This window comes from Homo sapiens, chromosome 3, assembly GCF_000001405.40.
Source record: "Homo sapiens chromosome 3, GRCh38.p14 Primary Assembly".
NCBI classification, from domain to species: domain Eukaryota; kingdom Metazoa; phylum Chordata; class Mammalia; order Primates; family Hominidae; genus Homo; species Homo sapiens.
In genome coordinates this window covers 59,086,450-59,112,253 of record NC_000003.12, presented here as the reverse complement: position 1 = coordinate 59,112,253, position 25,804 = coordinate 59,086,450, and the positions used below count along the sequence as shown (strand labels likewise).

General features: G+C 39.2%; 1 long non-coding RNA gene across 2 annotated transcripts in view; it reads right to left on the bottom strand.

The window, feature by feature from the left end:
• Positions 1-25,414, bottom strand: part of CFAP20DC-DT (CFAP20DC divergent transcript) — a 724,471-nt gene extending 699,057 nt beyond the window's left edge. Inside the window, exons 1-2 of one of the 2 annotated variants that reach the window (XR_002959675.2) lie at positions 25,332-25,414; positions 21,869-21,921 (exon numbers count right to left, since the gene is read on the bottom strand). This is a non-coding gene — a long non-coding RNA (CFAP20DC divergent transcript). The remainder of the gene's footprint in view (positions 1-21,868; positions 21,922-25,331) is intronic. The other variant, XR_007095934.1, reaches the window with a different exon arrangement.
• Positions 25,415-25,804: the final 390 nt, after the last annotated feature.

Here is a 25,804-nt window from a genome sequence, read left to right as displayed (position 1 = left end):
TTATTTTAGGGAAAGGGCTACAACATACTTTTTACAAAGCAATAAAATAGAGCACGTGTTCATACTGATACTTCCAATTCAAATCCAAGACTGTAGAACTTTTCTTAAGCTCATCAATCTTATTACTTCTATCTGTATCTCTTTTATCCTATACCAAATGTCCCAGCTTGCAGCATCTCATTATCATATTATATCCTATTTACTTTATCCCACAATATATACTCCTCAGTTTGAGAACAGCACTTACATTACCATCGATAACATGATTACCAAAAACAGTTTAAGATTATTTTGTCCTTTTTGTTTTTTCAGTTGGTCCTTTAGATATAATCCACTAGGAATGTAAAGAAAGCTTTAATATAGTTAACCATAATTTAAACTTACTTAAAATAATTCCCCTCTCTGTGGGTATGCCACCAACTCAATACATTTAGATTCATTTGCTTTAGTTTGCTTCTGATTTTTAGGATCATTTTTATTTTGTTTTATAATTATATAAAATATTTACATTGTTACAAAGTCAAATCTAAAAGTCAAATTATGTTCAGGGAAATCTACCTCCTATCTCTGTCTCCTTCACACTATTTTCTCCCTCCTAAAGAATAATCAATATGTTTTATCATCAAATAAATGTATTATGTAACTATATATTATAAATGCAAACATAGATGTATTTCTTTTTTTTTCTTTTTTCTTTTTTTTTTTTGAGATGGAGTCTTGCACTGTCGCCTGGGCTGGAGTGCAATGGCATGATCTTGGCTAACTGCAACCTCTGCCTCCTGGGTTCATGCTATTCTCCTGTCTCAGCCTCCTGAACAGCTGGGATTACAGGTGCACACCACCACACCCAGCTAATTTTTTGTATTTTTAGTAGAGACAGGGTTTCACTATGTTGGCCAGACTGGTCTTGAACTCCTGACCTCATGATCTGCCCGCCTTGGCCTCCCAAAGTACTGGGATTACAGGCGTGAGCCACACCGCACCTGGCCCAAACATAGATGTATTTTTACCTCACCTGTCTTAGTTTGTTTTGTGTTACTGTAACAGAATACCATAGACTGAGTGATTTATAAAGAAAATAAAATTATTTCTTAACAGTTCTGGAGGCTGGGAAGTCCAAGGTTGAGGGACCCACATCTGGTGAAGGCCCTCTTACTGCGTCATCCCATGGAAGAAGGAAGAAGGGCAAGAGATCACATGTGCATGAGAAAGGAAGGGGGCCAAACTCATCCATTTATTAGGAACCCACTCTGTGATAACTAACCCACTCCCACAATAATGACATTAATTCATTCATGAGAGCAGAGCCCTCAGGACCTAATCACCTCTTAATAGTCCCAGCTCTTGACACTGCTGCATTGGGAATTAACCTTTCAATACATAGACTTTGTGAGACATACCAAAACCACAACGTCCACCCTTTAAAAGTGGTAACATACAATACATACTACTTTTCTCTACCTTTCTTTTCTTCATATATAATACATATACTAAAGATCCTCTATAGAAGATATACCTTATTCTCTTTACAAACTCATAATTTACTGTGCTGCTATAATGAAGGTTATTTAACAAGTGCATGCTCTACTGATGAATATTTGGAAAGCCCAATGTTTTGCTACTACACATAATACTAGAATAAAGAGTTTTTTTAGTTTTACCCTCTACTTGAATGTTCAATTTCTAATTTTACATGCTCCAAACCGAACTATGTTGATCTCTTCTCTAAATTCATTCCTCCTTTGTTTTCACCACCTCAATTAGTGTCACCATGAATCCAATTGCTCAGGCCAAAAACCTAGGAATCATGGCTGATTATCTTCTTTCTTATATACGCTGCATCTAAACTGAAATCTTTCTCCTGCTCAAAACCTTCCAAATGCCTCCCATCATACTTAGAATAAAAACCCAAATCTTTATATGACCTTAAGAATTATAATGTGACTTTTCATAACCTTTTTGATCTCATTTCCTCCATTGTTCCCTCTGTCTTAGTCTGTTCTGTGTTGCTATAAAAGAATACCTAAGACTGGGACACTTTATTTTATTATTTTATTTTATTATTATTATTATTTTTTGAGATGGAGTTTCGCTCTTGTTGCCCAGGCTGGAGTGCAATGGCACGATCTCAGCTCACCGCAACCTCCGCCTCAAGACTGGAAAATTTTTAAAGAGAAGTGGTTTATTTAGCTCATGGTTCTGCAGGCTGGGAAGTCTAAGGAGAGAGTTCTGGTTTCTGGTGAGGGCTTTTGTGGTGACAGCATAGTGGAAAAGGTCAAAAGGGAAGCAGACACATGTGAAGAGAGAAAACAAAAGGGATGCCCTGGCTTTATAACAACCCACTCTTGAAGCAACTAATCAATTCTCATAAGAACTAAGCTAGTCTTGCCAGAGTAAGAACTAACTATTGTAAGAATACCATGAAGCCATTCATGAGGGATCTACCCCTGTGACCTAAACACCTCTCACTAGGCCCCACCTCCCAATACCACGACATTAGGAATCAAATTTCAACATGAGTTTTGTCGGGGACAATCCATATCCAAACTATAGCACCTTTCTCACTGTAGCTTAGCAGCACTGGCTTCCTTGCTGTTCCTGGAAGATGCATGATGCCCACCACAGAATCTTTGCACTTGCTTCCCTGTGCCTAAAAGGCTCTTTATGCCAGATATTTTCCCAGATTACTCCCTCACTTCCTTGGGGCACTGCTCAAATATTCCCATACTGAGAGATCTTTCTTCATGGTGGAGCTAAGACAGCTCTTGTCGTTGCTCTATGGCTTTTGTGATTTTTTTTTTTTTTTTTTTTTTTTGAGACGGAGTCTCACTCTGTTGCCAGGCTGGAGTGCAGTGGCGCGATCTCGGCTCACTGGGTTCAAGCGATTCTCCTGCTTCAGCCTCCCGAGTAGCTGGGATTACAGGCACATGCCACCACACCCAGCTAATTTTTGTATTTTTAGTAGAGATGGGGTTTCACTATATTGGCCAGGATAGTCTCGATCTCCTGACCTCATGATCCGCCCACCTCCACCTCCCAAAGTGCTGGGATTACAGGTGTGAGCCACCACACCCAGCTCTATGGCTTTTTATCCCTGTCTGTTTTTAATAATAATACTTATCACTACTGACAATGCATTATTTATTTATTTATGTGTTTATTCATTTATGCCTTCACCACTATATTGTAAACCCCTAAAGGGTTGTCTATTGTGTTAAGTATCTAGACACTTAATTATTATCCCATGAATGAATGAATAAATGAATGAACATGATTGTCAGTGTCCAACTATTTTGAATTATCTGGCAATTTGAAGTCTTCATGTGATTTGACTTTGATTAGGAAGTAAGTTACATATTTAATAACTAATTTTAAAAGAGATGTAATTTTTAATGATTAGCTACGAATAATTATGAATCTGTGCAAACCAATTGTAAAGAAAAATAAAAGCTTTATTGTTGTGGTTTCTTAATTGGTTTACAAAACTTCAAGGTCAGACAAATTGTTCTTTGATTGTATTCCTTTGATTGTTTTGATTGTTTCCTTCCTCTGCAAAGACTGTCATAATACTCATGACAGTACTACGGCAATAATACTGTCTGTCACGGAAAGATTATTTAATTTATAAGAAAACATACACTAGCTTTCAAAACAGTAAAATCATTAAGTGATTCATCCAGTTTATTTACTGAGTGATTATTCAGTAAGTAAAGCTTAACAGATGGACAGAAGCTCATGGTTAATGTTTTTTCTTTATAACATCCTACCCTTAACACCAAAGAATTACATTCTGATTCAAGAAAGAAATGACAGGCAAATTAACACTGTATTTTTTATTTTAGATGAGGAATACCTTACCCTCAAATTTCTATCCAGAGGAGAGCTAAGAGAACTCTCTTTAAGAAGCAACACATGCACATCCACTTACTTGAACGAGTCAGAAAGCCAGGAGTCAGCTTGGACACGCCTCTTCCCCATTTCCTGCAGTCTCCTCCACCCAGTCAGTCAGAGTCCTAGCAGTTTTATTTACTAAATATGTCTCAAGGTCATCAGTTTATGCCATTAGACAGTCACTGCCTCAGTTCTCTTACTTGGATTAAAAAGTAGCTCCCTGAAAGGTCTTCTCACATTCACCCTTTTCCCTTCAGATCCATTCTCCAGTCTACAACAGAGTGATATTCCAATATGTAAATCCAGTAATACAGTGGTTTCTGTTACTCTTTGGCAGAAGATCCTGGTCCTTAATATGACCTAAAGTCACATGTGTTTGGTCTCCGACTAACTCCCCTACCTCATTTTGAATCATTCTTGCCTTAGCTCTTTCCACTGGAGCCACATCATCCTCCTGTTAGTTCCTTGAAAATGCAAACTCTTTCTTGCCTCTGAGCCCTGACACAAGAGGCTCTGATTTCAAGTCAAAGACTGCTTCACTGGGGAAGCTTCTCAGTCCCTCCAGAGTAAGAGAGGTCCTCCTGTTACAAATTCTCATAGTTCACGGAACTTTTCCATACTAATTCATGTCACAAGTACAGATTTAATTTGCTCATTTGTTTAATATTTCTCTTGTATATTAGTGTAAGCACCTTAAAGCAGAAAGCACAGTATTGATGCTCACCATTATATCCCAACACCTAACATAAAATCTAGTATATAGTAGGGAGTCAATAAATATTTATTGTATAATAACAGCATGAGATGAAACAGTCAAACACTGGCAATAGGGACTTAGGGTACATTTGAGAGCATTTTTAGAGCATCACTGAAAACTGGAATGGGGTCCCAGAAAAAAGTTGAAGAATTATCTCCTATGGAGACTCCTAAAAACAGGATATTTTATATATGACTAGAACTGTACTATCCAATATGGTAGCCATTAGCCGCATGCATGTGGCTATTGAGCTCTTAGAATATGGCTAGTCCTAATTGAGGTGTGCTGTAAGTACGAAAGAAATGGCATATTTCAGACTTGGCAAAAAAAAAAAAAGTAAAATTTCTCAATAATTTTTTACAAGATTATATATCGAAATAATGTTTTGGATATACTGGGGTCAACAAAATATATTGATAAAATTAATTTTATCTCTTTCTACCATTTTTAATGTAACTACTAAACATTTTTATGTGGCTTATGTTGTATTTCTACTAGAACTTAATGGTCTGTGGTATTTCAGGACCACTGTGGTTTGAATATTCGTGTTTCCTCCAAAATTCATGCCGGAACTAAATCCCCAATGCAACAGTGTTCACAGACGGGTCCTTTAGGAGGTGATGAGGCCATGAGGGCTCCATTTTAATGGATGGGCTCAGTGCCTTATAAAAGGTCTGGAGGGAATGAGCTAGGCTCTTTTTGCCCTTCCATCTTTTCAGCTATGTAAGGACATAGTGTTTGTCCCCTTGGGAGGATACAGTAACAAGTTGCCATCTTGGAATCAAAGAATGAGTCCTTACAGACACTGAATCTGCTGTCACCTTGATCTTTGGCTTCCCAACCACCAAAACTATGAGAACTAAATTTATGTTATTTATAAATTACGCAGTCTAAGGTATTTTAGCATAGCAATAGTCTTAGTCCATTCCATAGCTTATTCCATAGCAACAGGAATTCCTATTGCTTATTCCATAGCAATAGGAATGGACTAAAACAAGGACAATATTGCCTGAAGCTGGACATGACAGTGGGACACGTCAGTAACATGAGTTTGGATACTGCAAGAAGTTATGAAGAATCTTCTTCTGTTAGCAATGTGTTTCTGTTTTACCACCAGTCTCACTTGACTGTGCCTGTGCTACTTTACCACATATTCAAATATTTGCTCAATATATTGCCCTCCTTGGTCAAATAGCCTTTACAAACTGAATTTCAAAGCCCTTCTTCATGCTTTTATTTAATCAGTGTCCTGAAAGGTTGCATAAAGTTTGCAAAGTTTGGCCTTCTTACTTTACTGAATTCTAAAGGGTCAGTTTGTTGATAGAAGGCTTGGCATGAAGTTTGGCATGATGAATCATTTTTACTCAAAGAAACTGGAAACTAGACATTGAAAGTAGCAGTTGTGTCTAGAACTGTCAACACAGGTTTTTATGGATTCTCTTCATATTTCTGAAAGTTTCATCCCTTTTTGGAGCTTTCTTTTTACTCTTACAGCAGTTTGCTCTTTTTTTTTTTTTTTTTTTTCAAAATGAAAGCAAGTTTATTAAGAAAGTAAAGGAATAAAGAATGGCTACTCTATAGAGCAGCCCCAAGGGCTGCTGGATGCCCATTTTTATGGTTATTTCTTGATGATATGCTAAACAAGGGGTGGATTATTCATGCCTCCCCTTTTTAGACCATATAGGGTAACTTCCTGACGTTGCCATGGCATTTGTAAACTGTTATGGTGCTAGTGGGAGAGCAGCAGTGAGGACGACCAGAAGTCACTCTCGTGGCCATTTTGGTTTTGTTTGGTTTTGGCTGGCTCCTTTACTGCAACCTGTTTTATCAGCAAGGTCTTTATGACCCGTATTTTATGCTGACCTCCTAACTTATCCTGTGACTTAGAATGCCTTAACCATCTGGGAATGCAGCCCAGTAGGTTTCACCCTCATTTTACCCAGCTCCTGTTTAAGATAAAGTTGCTCTGGCTCACAGGCCTCTGACATTTCCCCCCTCCCTTTTATAAAAGAATCCTTAATCCTAAGGTTTGCAGAGGGACAAACATCTGTCTTCTGTAACTTCTTCAGGCTGAATAGGGGTAATAATATTTCTTCCTAACTATGAGGGTCTCTTGCATTCAGGGTAGAGAGGAGCTCAGTTGGAAAGCATCAGTATGGTAAGGTCCATTTATAAACTCTTGAGTTGCGACAGAAGGTGATATCTGGAAGATTAATAAGTGTATAATTTAAGAAAGCACTCAGTAAGCTTGTCCTGTATTCCTGCACAAACAGTATAACAGCAATATATTCCACAAGATTAAAGCAAAATAAGTGAAGTTATTCCAAGTAAACTAAATTAGAAGGCTTTTCATGAACTGGGCAACTGTTGGAACTAAGCTGATATGGGGTTGTTAGCTGATTGTAATGTGCCCGGAATTAGAATACCGATCCAGATTTTTACATTACCCATCCCTCTTGTTTCTTCTGAGGAACAGTCAAAAATCACTGGTTGGTTTACAGGAATAAGCAGGGTTAGCCTAAATTGCAGAAACAAACTTAAAAACAACTGATACTAGAATTCAATAACCAGTGTGCTATAATTCTTGAAACATAATATTTCTCTCTCCAGTTTCCCATTTTTACTAAAGACAAATCATGGTAAAGCTGAAGGCAGACAGATCCCCAAAATTAAGGGTGCCATTTTATACTGGTTCCTGGATCCCCAAAAGGAGGGAAATACTATGGGAGAAGACAGTGCAGTGCTTCTACTCTGCATTTCTTGCAAGGCAATCCAAAGCCAAGTTTCCCATAACTTTGGAACATAACACATTTATGCAAATATAGTCCAAAGAAAGCAAAACACTACTTCACATTCGATAATGCTTTCTGTATGATTTTTATACCAAATGAGCCAAATTTCTCCTTTATAATAATGTACTATTAACATTAAACTCAATTTTTAATAAAACCTTATAGATATATTTACCCAATTTTAATGTTTAACCATAACATAAGATTCTTATAAACCTTTTATAACCCTTTACATTTTTTTGTGAAAGAGCAGATCAGTGCTTTAAGAAAAACCTGTTGTGCTTCTATTTCAGTGTTTAATTTACAGAAAAACTGAATAATAGCCAATATGTTCACACATAGAATCTCTTAGAATTAATTTTTACAAATCTTTCACAACTTGTTTAAACCTTTAGATTTTTTTTCTTACTTAAAACAATCCTTTAACACTTTAATCTAGGCTGAAGAAATTCCACATTCCCATGCCTTCTTGTAATCTTTTTTTACCAAAAACTCATTTCACTTTTCTTATACATCTTGCATGTAAAACTGTTTCTTCAGTAGGCCGGGCCCGGTGGCTCATGCCTGTAATGCCAGCACTTTGGGAGGCCGAGGTGGGCAGATCACGAGGTCAGGAGATCGAGACCATCCTGGCTAACACAGTGAAACCCCGTCTCTACTAAAAACGCAAAAAATTAGCCGGGGATCGTGGTGGGTGCCTGTAACCCCAGCTATTCGAGAGGCTGAGGCAGGAGAGTCGCTTGAACCTGGGAGGCAGAGGTTACAGTGAGCTGAGATCCTGCCACTGCACTCCAGCCCGGGCGACAGTGAGAGACTCCAAGACTCCGTCTCAAATAAACAAACAAACAACAACAAAAAAAAAACACTGTTTCTTCAGTAGTCTTAATTACATGTTACAATGTTAACTTTTAGTGACTTTCATTTTTGGTGAAAACCCTGGTTAATAAGCTATTTTAATTGTGTACTAGGTGGGGAGTCTAGCCTAGGACACACCAGGCAGAAGTGCAGATAGGAGCTGACTGCTAACTCTCAGGCTAACTCCACATGTTCCCAGGCCCTATCTAGAATCTAATGGCTTTAAGGTAGGTAAATTAAACAGTTTTCAAAAGTCAAATAAACAGTTCAACCTTAAAGCATTTAGCAAATCTGATATCTGACGTTAATTTAGACCAAATGTCTACATTTTCAAGATAATTTTACTAATAATCTTTAAAACTATTTCCAAAAGATTACTAAAGTTACATGAACAAAAAGGCATTAAAGTTTCTATTTTTCTGACAAAATATTTGATTTAAGTGCTTATTTTTCTAAGCCAATTAATTAGAGCTCTTTTATATGTAAACATATAACACATATAAATACACAGACAGACAGATTCAGCACTTGTAAGATTTTTCGTTTGCCAGTTTCTTAATTGAATTACTGGCTTCAGGATGGAGCCCTTGGAGGAACAGGGCCAGAAAAGCATGCGTTCTTACGGCCAAATAAGCAGCAAATAAGCAGCTGAAGGCAGACAGATCCCCAAAATTAAGGGTGTCATTTTATACTGGTTCCTGGATCCCCAAAAGGAGGGAAATACTATGGAAGAAGATAGCGCAGTGCTTCTACTCTGCATTTCTTGCAAGGCAACCCAAAGCCAATCAGCCCATTTTGTCATCAGCCTATCCCTCAAGGGTGTCTCATCTCCCAGTGGGGGGTGGGGATGTTTCCTTATCTCCCAAGTGGCCAAGAGCATGCTTGTCTGAGCTGAGTGTACAAAGAGTCAAGTATCCCTCCATAACTACTATTAGCCATCCCTTAAAGTATATTTCCTACCTAGTTCTTACACACGAAAGCTCTCTCATAATGCAAAGTAATTTCTGATACCCCAAAACTCAAAACCGTTAGATAACACAATGCAAAACAGAACAGTGCCTTTGAGTTTTAGAGGGATCTATTTGCTTTTAATTCCTGGGGTTTCATGAGGGAAACAGAGGGTTTTTTTCCCCAAAACGGGGTCTGTGGCGCCTCCTCTGTTTCTCCCAAGGAGTCCCAGGCTACCCGAAGTTATCTTAGGGTCTCTCATGTGTGCTTGAAGAGTGGCAAGACAAAAAAAAAAAAAAATTGGAGAAAAAATAATTCAATTGACAGAGAAGAAACACCTTTTTCCAGAAAAAAAAAGTTCCAAGGAGACAAAAACATAACGGCCTTTAAAATATATGTATAGCTTGTTTATCCACTTTTAATTAAGCTGATTTTTAACCATGGTGCTCTTTAAAAAAGAAATCCTTCCAGATCTCTTATTACCCGACTTCGGCCATGCCAAGTGGCCAATATTTCTAGTTTCTGAACTTTGCCAAAGGTAACCTCCTAGGTGCTTAGAGAAACAAAAAATTAAGGCAGTCCATGGAGAAGAGAATAGACAAGGTCACACAGATATTAAACCAGAAATGACTTACTTCCTAGGTGGGGAATTGAACTCAGACCGCCACTGTGAAAGTGCAAAACATTAGCTACTAGGCAGCTAGTACTAGCAGCTACTGGGCAGAAGTAGCAAACAAATTCAAAAGCTAACAGGAGACATAACTACAGCACAGGGCAGTCTCCAGTTCCTTTCCCACGAGGAATCTAGAGTAGTGAATCCTGAGCTTGCAGAGGCTTTTAACTATGTGATAGGATTTTTAGAGCTAACTCTGACATGAACCCTAAAATTCCTGTTTCCTGAAGACAGAGACCAAAAGAAAGTACCACCACCTGGTTAAAAGGCCAAGCTCCCAAGGACATAAAACAACGTGGAGACTTCATTCAGTTTTTCGTTTGTTTCAGGGACCTGCAGCCAAGTTTGTTATGGACCAGCTTGCTGGGTGGTCTTGAAAAGTGGGCTTACAAGTGTTCTAAGCCAGTGTTTGCACCTAAAGTACCCCTTGACACAGAAAAACACATTCATAGCACAAAATACACCAGCTTAAGACTAGCCTTAGAATTCTTTTTCGCATTAATCAAAACTTTACAGAGGAGATAAACACTGATTATTTATTTATTTATTTATTTACCATCCATTCAACTGCACAGAGAGCAGCCAGAAATCTGACTGGTAAGAAATTCTTACCCTTTTGCCAGCATGCCAGGCTTCTGGTTTCCCTTTCCCTGAGCAACCCTAGTGATTCAGCTTGTGACACCATAGCCCTGGGGGCCAAGCCGCATTATAAAGGAGAATAATTTTTTTTTGCTCTGGCCAGAGCAAAATACATGTGATAAAACATAGACATTAGTCATTCTGCTTAGCACCCAATATCAGACTGGCAAGGCTTAAATTTGCCCCCAGAAGGGCCCTGTCATCTTTAATCCAACCTCTGGCTAGGAGTTTCAACACATGGTCTCTGGGCAAGTTGGTTGCCCTGAGTAATAGAAAAGATAACAAAGGGAAATAAAAAGTAGAGAAGAAAAGCATTGCCTGTTGGCAGGGTGGGGAAGGTGAAATGATCAGGGAGGCCAGGAGAAAGACCCACACATTGCGGCGACACTGAAAAGTTCAGGCAGCTGCAGCTGCTGTCGTAAAGGGATTTTTTTCCAGCAGTCTCATCACCTCTCAAGTTTCCTCTTTTAGGGAGGAAAAAACTCCTCATGTCCCACAATCCTGTCCATGCCTGTCACCCACAGCCATCAGCAAAGAGTACAAGGCAGATTAATCCAAAGAGAATAGCAGTTAGCACCCCATAGTGCAAAACCTGTTCTTAAAGGGACTTTACCAAGAGGTGCCTCTAACCCCCTAAATCGTAGAAGAGACTCTAACCCTCCTAAACTGGGCCTCTAACCGAGGTCCAACAAGTGTCCTTGCCTTTTATTAAGAGTGGCCTTGCGGGGGAGGGGCCAAGATGGCTGAATAGGAATTGCTCTGGTCTCTAGCTCCCAGGGAGACCAATGCCTAAGGCAGGTGATTTCTACATTTCCAACTGAGGTACCCAGTTCATCTCATTAGGACTGGTTAGGCAATGGGTGCAACCCACAGAGAGCAATCAGAAGCAGGGTGGGGCGTTGCCTTACTCAAGGAGTGCAAGGAGCAGGGGGCCTCCCTTTCCCAGCCAAGGGAAGCCATGAGGGTCTGTGTTACCTGGCCCGGGTACTATGCTTTTCCCACGGTTTCTGCAATCCGGAGATCAAGAGATTCCCTCGTTTGCCTACACCACCAGGGCCATGGGTTTCAAGCACAAAACTGGGTAGCTGTTTGGGCAGACACTGAGCTAGCTGTAGGAGCTTTTTTCATATCCCAGTGGCACCTGGAACCTTAGCAAGACAGAACCATTCACTCCTCTGAAAAAGCGGCTGAAGCCAGAGACCCAAGTTCTCACTGAGCAGGTCCCACTCCCATGGAGCCCAGCAAGCTAAGAAACACTGGCTTGAAATTCTCACTGCCAACACAGCAGTCTGAAGTCGACCTGGGACAGTCAATCTTGGTTGGGGGAGGGGAGTCTGCCATTACTGAGGTTTTAGTAGGTGGTTTTCTCCTGAGAGTGCTAAGGAGGCTGGGAGGTTAGGACTGGGCAGAATTCCCCACAGTGCGGCAAAGCAGCTGTGGCCAGACTATTTCTCTAGATTCCTCCTCACTGGGCAGGGCATCTCTGAAGGAAAGACAGCAGCCCAAGTCAGGGGCTTACAGATAAAACTCTTATCTCCCTGGGACAGAGCACCTGGGGGAAGGGGCAACTGTGGGCACAGCTTCAACGGATTTAATTGTTCCTGCCTGCCAGCTCTCAAGACAGCAGCTGATCCTGACAAGGGTGATTCTCCCAGCACAGCGCACCAGCTCTGCTAAGGCACAGACTGCCTCCTCAAGTGGGTCCCTGATCCCTGTGCCTCCTGACTGGGAGAGACCTCCCAACAAGGTTAACAGACACCTCCTACAGGAGAGCTCCAGTTGGCATTACATTGGTGCCCCTCTGGGATAAAGCTTCCAGAGGAAGGGGCAGGCAGCAATCTTTCCTGTTCCGCAGCCGCCACTGGTGACACCCAGGCAAACAGGGTCTGGAGTGGACCTCTAGCAAACTGCAGCAGACCTGCAGAAGAGGGACCTTACTGTTAGAGGAAAAACTAACAAACAGAAAACAACGTCAACATCAACAAAAAAATACCCCCACACAAAAACCCCATCCAAAGGTCTTCAGCCTCAAAGATCAAAGGCAGATAAATCCATGAAGATGAAGAAAAACCAGTGCAAAAATGCTGAAAATTCCAAAAACCAGAATGCCTCTTCTCCTCCCAATGATCATAACTCCTCTCCAGCAAGAGCACAAAACTGGATGGAGAATGACACTGACAAATTGACAGAAGTAGGCTTCAGAAGGTGGGTAACAACAAATTCCTCTGAGCTAAAGGAGCATGTTCTAACCCAATGCAAGGAAGCTAAGAACCTCGATAAAAAGGTTACAAGAAGTGCTAACTAAAATAACCAGTTTAGAGAGGAATAATTTTAAATCACTAGATGAAGCTGAAAAATACAGCACAAGAACTTCATGAAGTATACACAAGTATCAATAGCCAAATCGATCGAGTGGAAGAAAGGATATCAGAAATTGAAGATCACCTTACTGAAATAAGACATGAAGATAAGATTAGAGAAAAATGAATGAAAAGGAACAAACAAAGCCTCCAAGAAATATGGGACTATGTGAAAAGACCAAACCTAAGACTGATTGGTGTACCTGAAAGTGATGGGGAGAATGGAACAAAGTTGGAGAACACACTTCAGGATATTATCCAGGAGAACTTACCCAACCTAGCAAGACAGGCCAACATTCAAATTCAGGAAATACAGAGAACACCAATAAGATACTCCTCAAGAAGAGCAACCCCAAGACACATAATTGTCAGATTCTCCAAGGTTGAAAAGAAGGAAAAAATGTTAAGGGCAGCCAGAGAGAAAGGTTGGGTTACCTACAAAGGGAAGCCCATCAGACTAACAGCAGATATCTCTGCAGAAACCCTACAAGCCAGAAGAGAGTGGGGGTCAATATTCAACATTTTTAAAGAAAAGAATTTTCAACCCAGAATTTCATATCCAGCCAAACTAAGCTTCATAGCAATGGAGTAATAAAATCCTTTACAGACAAGGAAATGCTGAGGGATTTCGTCACCACCAGGCCTGCCTTACAAGAGCTCCTTAGGGAAGCACTAAATATAGAAAGAAAAAAACTGTACTAGCCACAGCAAAAACACATCAAAATGTAAAGACCAATGACACTATAAAGTAACTGCATCAACTAATGTGAAAAATAACCAGCTAGAATCATAATGACAGGATCAAATTCACACATAACAATATTAACCTTAAATGTAAGTGGGCTAAATGCCCCAGTTAAAAGACACAGACTGGCAAATTGAATAAACAGTCAAGACCCATCAGCGTGCTGTATTCAGGAGACCCATCTAACATGCAAAGACACACATAGGCTCAAAATAAAGGGATGGAGGAAGATTTACCAAGCAAATGGAAAGAAAAAAAAAAGCAGGGGTTGCAATCCTAGTCTCTGTTAAAACAGACTTTAAACCAACAAAGATCAAAAAAAGACAAAGAAGGGCATTAGATAATGGTAAAGGGATCAATGCAACAAGAAGAGGTAACTATCCCAAATATACATGCACCCAATACAGGAGCACCCAGATTCATATAACAAGTTCTTAGCCACCTACGAAGAGACTTAGACTCCCACACAATACTAGTGGGAGATTTTAGCCCCCACTGTCAATATTAGACAGATCAATGAGACAAAAAATTAACAAGGATATTCAGGACTTGAATTCGGCTCTGGATCAAGCAAGCCTAATAGATATCTACAGAACTCTCCACCCCAAATCAACAGAGTATACATTCTTCTCAGCACCACATAGCACTTATTCTAAAATCGACCACATAATTGGAAGTAAAACACTCCTCAGCAAATGCAAAAGAATGGAAATCATAACAAACAGTCACTCAGACCACAGTGCAATCAAATAAGAACTCAGGATTAAGAAACTCACTCAAAACCACACAACTACATGGAAATTGAACAATCTGCTCCTCAATGACTACTGGGTATATAACGAAATTAATGCAGAAATAAAGAAGTTCTTTCAAACCAATAAGAAAAAAGAGACAATGTACCAGAATCCCTGGGACACAGCTAAAGCAGTGTTTAGAGGGAAATTTATAGCACTAAATACCCACATCAAAAGTAGGAAAGGTCTGAAATTGACACTCTAAAATCACACTTAAAAGAACTAGAGAAGCAAGAGCAAACAAATTCAAAAGCTAGCAGAAGACATAACTAAGATCAGAGCAGACCTGAAGAAGATAGAGACATGAAAAACCCTTCAAAAAACAATGAATCCAGGAGTTGGTTTTTGGAAAAGATTAACAAAATAAATAGACCGCTAGGTAGACTAATAAAGAAGAAAAGAGAAGAATCAAATCGACACAATAAAAAATGACAAAGGGGATATCACCACTGATCCCACAGAAATACAAACTACCATCAGAGAATACTACAAACACCTCTATGCAAATAAACTGGAAAATCTAGAAGAAATGGATAAATTCCTGGACACATACACCCTCCCAAGACTAAACCAGGAAGGAGTCAAATCCCTGAGTAGACTAATAACAAGTTCTGAAATTGAGGCAGTAATTAATAGCCTACCAACCAAAAAAGCCCAAGACCAGACAGACTCACAGCCAAATTCTACCAGAGGTGCAAAGAGGAGCTGGTACCATTCCTTCTGAAACTACTCCAAACAGTAGAAATAGAGGGACTCCTTCCTAACTCATTTTATGAGGCCAACATCATCCTGAGACCAAAACCTGGCAGAGACACAACAAAAAAAGAAAATTTCAGGCCAATATCCCTGATGAACATCCATGTGAAAATCCTCAATAAAATACTGGCAAACCAAATCCAGCAGCACATCAAAAAGCTTCTCCACTACGATCAAGTTGGCTTCATCCCGGCAATGCAAGGCTGGTTCAATATACAAAAACATGGATAAAGCTGGAAGGCATCATTCTCAGCAAACTAACACAGGAACAGAAAACCAAACACCACATATTCTCACTCATAAGTGGGAGTTGAACAATGAGAACACATGGACACAGTAAGGGGAACATCATACACCAGGGCCTGTTGGGTTGTTGGGGGGAAGGGGAGGGAGAGCATTAGGACAAATACCTAATGTATGCAGGGCTTAAAACCTAGATGGCAGGTTGATAGGTGCAGCAAACCACCATGGCACATGGTATGTAACAAACCTGCAGGTTCTGCACATGTATCCCAGACCTTAAAGTAATATAAAAACAAAAAGAGGGGCCTCTAACCCACTCTGTTTTAGGAGAGACTCTAACTCCTCTAAGTTGGGCCTCTAACCCAATCCCATTCTTTACCCAGGTATATGCACCCCACTTACCCAAAGTCAGCCAACTGATGCACACAGATTATTTTCCTTTGGGTTGGGGGTCTCTTCAGTATTGTCCCTTCCATGGTCCACCAGAAACGTGTTACAGGACCCAAAGGTAGCCGTTGGGTCAGGGTTTCTGCTCTATAATCACTTCTGTGGTCACCAGAAATATGTTACAGGAAAGGGACCCTGATCCAGACCCCAAGAGAGGGTTATTGGATCTTGCACAAGAAAGAATTCAGGGTGAGTCTGGAGTGCAAAGTGAAAGCAAGTTCATTAAAGTAAAGCAATAAAAGAATGGCTACTCCACAGACAGAGCAGCCGCTCATGTAATTCTTATATACTGTCTTCTTCTTAAGATTCTGAGGCAAGTGAACATATGGATTTATTTTGTTAACCCCAACATCTAACCTAGCACAGTGCTTTGCACAAGTTAGGTACTCAATAAATATTTTCTTGAATTTGTTGAATGAATGAACTTTTCCTCATTCTGATCACTCCTTGACTTCAAGCTCAGCATTTACTACAAATTTAACTTAAAGGCTTGTACTTAATGGGATCGTTTTAGGACCATTTCATGAGTATGTATTTTGAGTGGCTAACACAATCATAGAGTCTTTAACTTCCTTATAATGCCTATGCCAATGCTTTAAACATTTTAGAGGTTCAATATATGATAACCAACTAACAAGTTACAATCCTTAGACCAAATATTATCTCCCATAGAGGTGAAAGACCAGACCAGGCATTGCTCTTAGCATACCCACTACCTGGTCAACAGGCTAAGCTTAAGCATAAAACTATTATTCACACAACTTGGTAAGCATGCCTCTAAACTGTAAGCTATAGTTTAATAATTTAGTATAAGCTGCTACCGCTAAAATATGAAGGCAAAATGATTTCTTTTGCACATAAACTCTATAGGACATAAAGATGATTGAAAAACTACATCAAGAGTGTACTGAAAAACTTACCTTAGCCGATTAGGTCTAGGTGAATAGAGCAACAAAGTAGCTGCATGTACCTGATGCACTAATAAAACAACCTTCATGTTTGACCAGCAGCAACCAAGCCCTTGTTGCTGCACAAGGACACTGAAAGACACAGCAGCATGCCTGTTGACTGCCAAAAATCAACATGAGGAGACAGATAACCTTGGTACCTGGCAGCCCAAGAGAGTTGCTTTGTTTCAGCAAAAGCATCAGGCAGCCTAAATAGGTGAAGAACAGTGAAGCAAACAGCCACAGTTTTAGAACTTCTGCCAATCAGAGGGCAGTCCAAATGTACTCTTGAGGTGGGTCAACATGAATCTGAACATTAACCACTCAGATACCAGTAAATTGCCAATTCAGTTTTTGAGAGTTCAACTCTCATCAAGGAGTCACAACCTCAAGGCAGAAGAGACTTTGCATCATAGAACGTTTTTCTTTCACACTGATAACCCAGGAAGCAATACTGTCAGCAAAATAACTTTTAATCATAACAGGTTAACAGGTGTGTGTGTGTGTCTGCGTGGCGTGTGTGTGTGTGTACTTCCCCAGGTTTTATAAACTTGAATAATCAACATTTGTACATATAAATGGCTGACCTGGCCTGTGCCTGGTTCATTATTACTTTTATCCTTAGTGACCGCGAAGTACCTTAGCAATGGTCTAGAAAAAACATATACAGAAAAATTGCAATCTCATTTCAGTAACTGACAGTGGGTCATAGGCATTGTAGCAATCACAACCTCTAGCCGTTCCAGTTTTCCATAAACAAAGAAATAGTCAATTGGCCAACTGATGTGGATTCAACTAGAATATAAACATTATCTGTGCCACCACATTCTCTTCTTGCTAAGAATGGCAATTTGCCATTCCCCAAATAAACAATGTTGCAAAGAGGTCCCAAACTCACAAAACCCTATTTAACCTATAATGGGGCTGAGATGCTATAGAAGAAAATGAGAGATAAACAGGGAACGGGCAGAAAGGAAAATTGAGATTTTTATAGAGCAATGATAATAGGTAGGAAAATTCCAAGGGGAATTATTAATTAAGATATGAGTTATTAACAATATTAAATTATCTGAGAACATAAGTACAATTTGTAATAACGTTTCCATGGCGAAATGTGTCTGAAACGATTTTCTGAAATAAACTCTGCTTTAAATCAATTCTTGCCTAGAAAAAAATTAAAATGAAGGGTAGCAGAGAGGGTAGTTATGGCTCATTAAAAATCCAAGGAATTCATGTATTCAGTAAGTGCTTATTGGGGAGATAGGCAAGTAAACAATACATTTTGTTTGCTAAGTGCTTTAACAGGATATGGGTGCTATGGGAGCACAAAGGAAGGGCATCTAACCAATCCTGATGGGGGTAGAAAGGTGGTCAAGGAAGACATGGGGGAATGACTTGAGAGAACTGAAAGAAGGGGAAGGGCAGACAAGAGTATTATAGGCAAAAAATAAAATAAAATATTTCTGGAGGCAAGAGAAAATATAAATTTAGAAGAAGAAGCTGGCAACAGATGAGGCCTGACAAATAATCCAGGCTCAGGTAGGGCTTGTGAATCCAGATTAGAATTTTGTGTTTTAGACTAAGGACCACTGGAGCAATTGAAGGAAGGGATTTGTTCCCATTTGCATTTGGAAGTCAAACAAGCAGCATGTGGAGAATTGATTAGTGGGGAACAAGATTAGAGGCAGAGAACACAATTAGAAGGCTATTGTCATAATCCTGCTGAGAGATAAAGGGTTTCAGAGAGGATAAACATAAATAGAAAGGCTTGAGCGCTATTAAGAAGTAGAATCAGCAATTCTTGATGTGGCTTCTTATTTGAGAAATAAAAGAGTCAAGAAAGACTTCCCCTCCACCCCTGGGTTTCTAATTTTAGCTACAGGGAGATTGTGATACTTTTCACCAACAGAAGCATCAAAGAGGAGGTCCTGCTTGAGGAGCCAGATGTAGAGTTTAGTTGTAGATGTATACATCCGGGTTACTTAAGGAACATTCAAGTGTTGGTATGAAGGGGGCAAAGAGATACCTGTGGCTGAGGCCCATGAGAGATGTCTAGGCTTGAAATGAAAATTTTTAAGCCACGGAATAGTAGTTGAAGATAAATTTCCCCAGAAATGTATGTGATATGAGATGGGGATCTAGATCAGAACCCTGAAGAATATGTAAAGAAAGAGGAACAGCCAGAATAATTAGAGGAAAAATAAAAGATGTCACTGAAGCAAAATAAAATGAGGATTTTAAGAAGGGAGTGTGATCAACAAGGATGATCAAGTAAGGTGAGGACTGATAAGTACCCACTGGATTTAGTTATGTGGAGGCCATTGGCAACTTTGGTAAGAGCAATGTAGTGAAATAGTGCAAGAAGACAGAAGCTGAATCATAGTGGACTAAGAAGTAGAAGACAGGTAGTACACAATCCTCAAAATGTGTGCCTGTTAAGGGGCAAATAAATGTAATGGATGTACTTAGAGGGTAACATGGACTTGAGGAAGGGCCTTTGTTTCATTTTGCTTTCTTTACATGCTCAAGTAAAGGAGGCAGCAGGAGAAAGGAAGAATTTGAAGATATGGTAGATAGAAGGATAATCATGAGACTGGGTGGTTAGAAAAGAGGGAGAGAATGGGATTCAGAACCCCGGTGGAGGAGATTAGCCTTACATAGGAATATGACCAAATCCTTTATGGGAGGAACAAGAGTAAAGGAGGAAGATATAAGAGGAGGATAGGTAAGATCATCAGTTTGTTGCTGGAGTTGAGGGTGTTCTTTCTGATGATTTCTATTGTCTCTGTGCAGCAAGAGATGAGCTCATCAGCTGCTAACAGCCTAACAAGGTTGCGTGCTTTGGACTGGTAGCACCCAGGACTGATCAAAGTTCTGGCCCACGGGCTCTAAGTGCTAAGCTCTATGAATTGGTAGAAAATAGAGAAGCGAAGAGATTGAAGGCTCCTATGAGACAAAGAACAATTGTTGGGGGAAGAGACTGAGAGACCAGGAAGAACTGAATATTTGAATCTGATATTACAAAAGTAGAGCAATTCCAGATGATGATAAAATCCAGCACTAGGCCACTTCAGTGGCTGAAGTCAAGTGGAGGTAACTATCATGGGAGCTGATGAGGTTGCAGAATTGAGATATTACTGCTATTGGATGAGTTGTTTATATAGGCATGGAAGATACCAGCACAATGTTACAAATTGCAATGGAAGAAATAATTAATAAGATGGCTTTAATTAATAAATAGAAAAATTTTGATGAATACCAAAAAGGAGGTGCTTTAAAAAAGACAAAAGAATGAGATGTCTTAGAATACAAAAAAAAAAAAAAACCCTAAAATATCTCCAATGGGCAAAGCTTTTTGAGCAATGAAACAACGGCACTGCATTATAGCACAAAAAAGTAAAATAAATATCCATAACTTCATACTCATGAATACCTACATGTAAATAAATGGTTCAATAAATAAAGAAATAGGGCTGCATGGTCACTTACACCTGTAATCCCAGGATTTTGTGAGGCCAAAGCAGGAGGATCACTTGATGTCAGGAGTTCAAGACCAGCCTGGGTAGCACAGGGAGACCCCTCCTCTACAAAAAAAATAAAATTTAGCCAGGCATGGTGATACACGCCTGTAGTCCTAGCTACTTGGGAGGCTGAGGTAAGAGGATGTCTTGAGCTCGGGAGTTTGAGGTTACAGTGAACTATGATTGCCTCACTGCACTACAGCCTGGGTGACAGAGCAAGACCCTGTCTCTAAAATAAATAAGTGACAAACCTTTCATACAGAATAATTATAAATAATAAGTGTAGGAGGAACAAGGCAAATAGAAAATTACCCAGCAATATTTGCTTTCACAAGATTCATGGGTGAATACTAAAAGTAGTAGGAAAATATCAAAGAGAAAGAGAAACAGGTATTTACATAGTCTCAGTCTTTTCTTCAATATATTTACTATGGTAGTTTTAACATATATCCACAAGCTTTTTTTAATATTACTACCTCAAAGAGGTAGAATTTCTACCTCTAATTCTCCTCTCCTTAAACGTAGGCTAGACTTGGTGATTTCCTTCTAAGTACATGAGTATTAAAAGGCAAAATGTAGTAACTTTATAGTGAGAAAACTTGGCACACATCACCTTAATCAAGTGATCAAAGTTTACCTCACCAATACTGTGAGATGATGGAAATCATTTACCCCCTGACATGATATGATGGGAAGGGCACTTCACTTCTGTGGCAGTGTTCTGTAACCCCAGTATAGTCATGAGAAAATATTAGCTAAAACCCAAACTGAGGGACATTCTGCAAAACACCTGGCCAGTAATCTTCCGAAGTGTCAAGACTGAGAAATAAGGACAGGTTGTGAAGCAAAGAAAGACAGATTAGAGGAGACTAAGGAAACATGACAAATAAATGCAATGTGGTACTGGATTGGATTTTGGAAAAAAGAACATAGTGAAGAAGCTCATGTAATTCAAATAAAGTCTGTTGTTTAGTTAATAGGGTTGTGCCACTGTTGATTTCTAGTTTTGATAAATGTGCCATGTTAGATAAAAGGTTAACATCAGGGGAAGATGGCTGATGGGTATGTGGAGAATCTATATACTATCTTTACAACTCTTTCATAAATATGAATTATTTCAAAAAAAAAGCTTAAGAGAAAAGGTTTAATGAATAACAATGAGTAGCTAAGAAAATAGCATATTGTCAGTAAAAGATGGAGGGTGTAATGAGTGTTGGAGCTGGATGGCATGAGGCCTAATGAAGTAGAAGGTTTCACAGAAAGGTGAATAAGGAATGGTTTCGAACAGCCTTATGGAGAGAGAAGTAAAGGCCAGACTATCAACTCAGCCTTCCAGTCTAACATTTATTTGACTTGATGCTGTTGCTATGTCTGGAGATCAAATAAGAACTGAAAAGTGTTCACTGCGTTTGGCAATTATCTGATCCAAGTATTACGTGGTCCACTGGTCCTGATTGGAAGGGCCATCATCCTTGAAATCTGCCAATATCAATCACTTACCTTCCATTATCCGTGGCAAATCTATGCTATTTCCTCTTCAAAGTTTGCAGCCTCTGTGAACAAAGTTTTACAAGTGATCTCAGGAAGGCCACAAATCCTAAGTTTTGTGTAATAAGGATGATTGACATATTTGGAACCTAGTAAATAATCAGGTCCTCTGCTCATATTTCTAGCTTTTCTCATCTTTGAGTGCCTCCTATCGAGGGGAATGTTTTTCTACAAGGTGTCATAAACATTAGCTCAAAATCGCCAGAATTTTAACAAGAAAAGAATTTTTCTAATCAAAAAACTAAACTTTATTGAGTCCCTTTTAAGTGTTCAAACTGGTAATATATAATTTTATATAAATTATCTCAGCCAGGGATAATTTTTAATGTGTGAAAAAGAAACCATGTAAAATTAGAGACACTGGTAAATACTATTCACTGTACTAATTGAAAAAATTAAAAAATGTTCACTACAATAAATTTAAGGTTTGGGAAAAGTAGGGGTCAAAAAGAACAGAAAGAAAAAAGTTTTAAGGGACTGACATGTGGATTCTTACACAATAGTTTTAGATACTTTTTTTTTCTTTTTTTTGAGACGGAGTCTTGATCTGTCACCCAGGCTGGAGTGCAGTGGCATGAATTCGGCTCACTGCAACATCTGCCTCCTGGGTTCAAGCTATTCTCCTGCCACCACGTCCTGCTAATTTTTTGTATTTTTTTTAGTAGAGATGGGGTTTAACCACGTTGGCCAGGCTGGTCTCGAACTCCTGACCTCAAGTGATCCACCCACCTCAGCCTCCCAAAATGCTGGGATTACAGGTGTGAGCCACTGTGCCAGGCCTAGACACTTTTAAAAATCCAACCCATGGTTTACTGATGGTGGTGAAGTGCCAGCACACACCCACAGCAGAGTCATAACTGCAAAAGGATGGCCATGCAACAAGGGAGAGAGGCAAAGGAACACAAAGCAAATACTGCTCACTACAACCAGCAAAACAACTCAACTCTGCACTAATATTCATCACAAAGTTCCAAAGAGAAAAAAACTCCAACTTTTCAGAATGGTCTCCCTTGATAGATCTGTCTGACAAATGCGACCAGAAGTAAAATGTAATTTTGATAGACACATGAAAGATAGATGTTATGATTAGATATAGACAGATAAAATGATAATAAATGTGTTTTAGGCACTAAATGTAAAATTTCAGTTTATAATATCCATTAGGGTAAAAAAATGAAAAGACCTTTCCTAAGATCAAATTTGAATGCTTAAATAATAGAAAAACAGCTACAATGAAACAACAGAACACTTTCTTCAGTGCTTCACTCCAGAATAAAGTGCTTTATATGTAATATCAGTCCTGCTCCCAGAGAATTAAGTTGGAGTCAGCATCATGAATAGATAAACTAATCTGTTTAAAAGCACATAGCAAAAACGACTGGGCCAAATCAAATCCTACTAGATTACTGTATGCAGGATAGGAGACTTCCATTGAAAATGTGGACAGGCATGCTGAGACTGTCCTAAAAGATATATTTTACATTTTTTTAAGAGGTAAAAAAATTACAAGCTAGACACAAAAGCAAATGAAGAATTTGAACAGATGGAACTTACAGGCTTTATTTTAGATGGTCCCTGACTAATAACAGATACTTTAATAACTATCAACCGGGCACGGTGGCTCACGCCTGTAATCCCAGCACTCTGGGAGGCCAAGGCGGGCAGATCACGAGGTCAGGAGATCGAGATCATCCTGGCCAAAATGGTGAAACCCCATCTCTACTAAAAAAATACAAAAAAAATTAGCTGGATGTGGTGGTGTGGACCTGTAATCCCAGCTACTAGGGAGACTGAGGCAGAAGAATTGCTTGAACCCGGGAGGCAAAGGTTGCAGTGAGCTGAGATCGCGCCACTGCACTCCAGCCTGTCAACAGAGTGAGACTCCATCTAAAAAAAAAAAAAATCACATTCAGATTTCTGTAGTAATTATCTCCAAATGAAATATATGCAACATTCTCATACAACTCAAAATTTTAGCCAAATTTAACACATATACTGGGCCATATAATTTATTGGGATAAGAGACATATAATTACATTTTGAAATTATTCCATTTAAATAAATATATATACACAGATAATTTTATTCAGTTTTGACATTGTAATAACTGGGATTTTAAAAATCCTTGTATTGAAATATACATATAGAAAAGTGTATGTATATTAATTAGGGCAACAAATTTTCACACATATTAAATATATCCAAATAACCATGTTTTGAATAATATGAGTACATCCAACTAAAGAGGAACTCTTTGGTCTTTCTTATACATGTCCAAATATTATCGAAAACATTTGCTGGTATTTTTATCCTTTAGAAATATGTAATGATTTTCGTCTTTCCTGAATTTCTTTTTTTAACCTACCAATTTGGAGAAGATGGACCCAACTGTAGGAAAATAAAAGTATCCGGTAACCTATGAATTTTACACTGAGCATATTCCCCATCCTAGTTCATTATGTACCTCACCCAATACCAGATTAAGACTCGCTAATTTACAACCCAGTTGAGAGAGCTTTATTCCAGATTCTTTCTACAAGTCACTTCAGACACTAACGACAATTCCAATCATGTAAACTCTGAATTCTGGAGGATGAACTATGAAGGAATGGTGATCTGATCCTAAGACTTTATCTACATTTCTTGTAGCTACAAGTGGGACAGGGTTGGCCAAGCTTGGGACTAAACTAGAATGAGAATTCACTTCTGAAACTTTCAAAGTCTTCGCAAAGAGGTGGGATCCTGGGCTGCAGGTGAACCAGGAGGGATTCCAAACTGTGTCAGTGATGCCTCAATCTCAGCAAACACATCTTCAACCCTTACCCATATACTTCTTCACACCCTCTATGCTGTATCAGTCGTTTGTTCCAACCCTAACTAGATGATGCAAAATGAGAATTGCTTATATAGCGAAAAAATCCAGTGGGGCAAATCTGACTATAGGCATCGCTGGACCCAAGGACTCAGACAAAGCCACCCAAATCCAACTTCTCTCTCCCCATCTCTGCATACACACCATTGTCAGACAGGCTCTCACAGTGTTCCTAAGATGGCTCCTCCTCATCCATATTCAATAGAAAAGACTGGGAGCTCTCGCCCCAGCATTCCCAGCCAGCCAAAGGTTCATTCTGTCTCATTGGTTCCAATCTGGTGGCAAGGCTTTCTCTGAACAAATCACTGTGACCAGGAAATATGATATGCTAATTGGCTGAAACCCAGGTAAATGTTCAACTCTTGAGTGGGGCATTGAACTAATACTACTTAATGGGCTAAAAGATAAATGGGTATATAATTACCAGGAGAAGGGAAAATAGGCAGTAAAAGAAAAATATTTCAATGGTACTGTAACAACTTCCATTGGTAACCCTGTTAGGCACTATGAGTTAGTGAACCTGATTAATTTGTAAACACTTACACTCAAGATGACAAGCCCCTGTCAGTATTATTCTCTTCTCACTAAGGGTGGGGAGTCTTTCTTAGCACTGCTCCCCAAAACACCTGTAAGTAAAAGGAAAAGAAGGAAGCTTGATTTGTTTGGGATGTTTTCACCAGAGAGATTAATGAATGTTATGTAAAAGATGAACTGACATAATTAATACATAAAATACTAACCTCTCAGATTCCCAAAAGAGAACCCATGGAAGTCAGAGCTCTGGTCTGCAAAGTATTTGATTGCTCATTGAAAAGCTATGAAATGCATTTGTTGTGGGTATAAAGAGAAATAAAAAGAGAACTCCTAGAGAAGTAAAGATTCAAGAATAATATTACAACACAGGACATTCATTAATGTTATTTATATTAAAATGAACCTGCCTGCTACTGTGGCCTGAGCTGGGTATAGAGACCTATTGAGGTGGAGCAACTACCCAAAAGGACCCCCTTCCAACC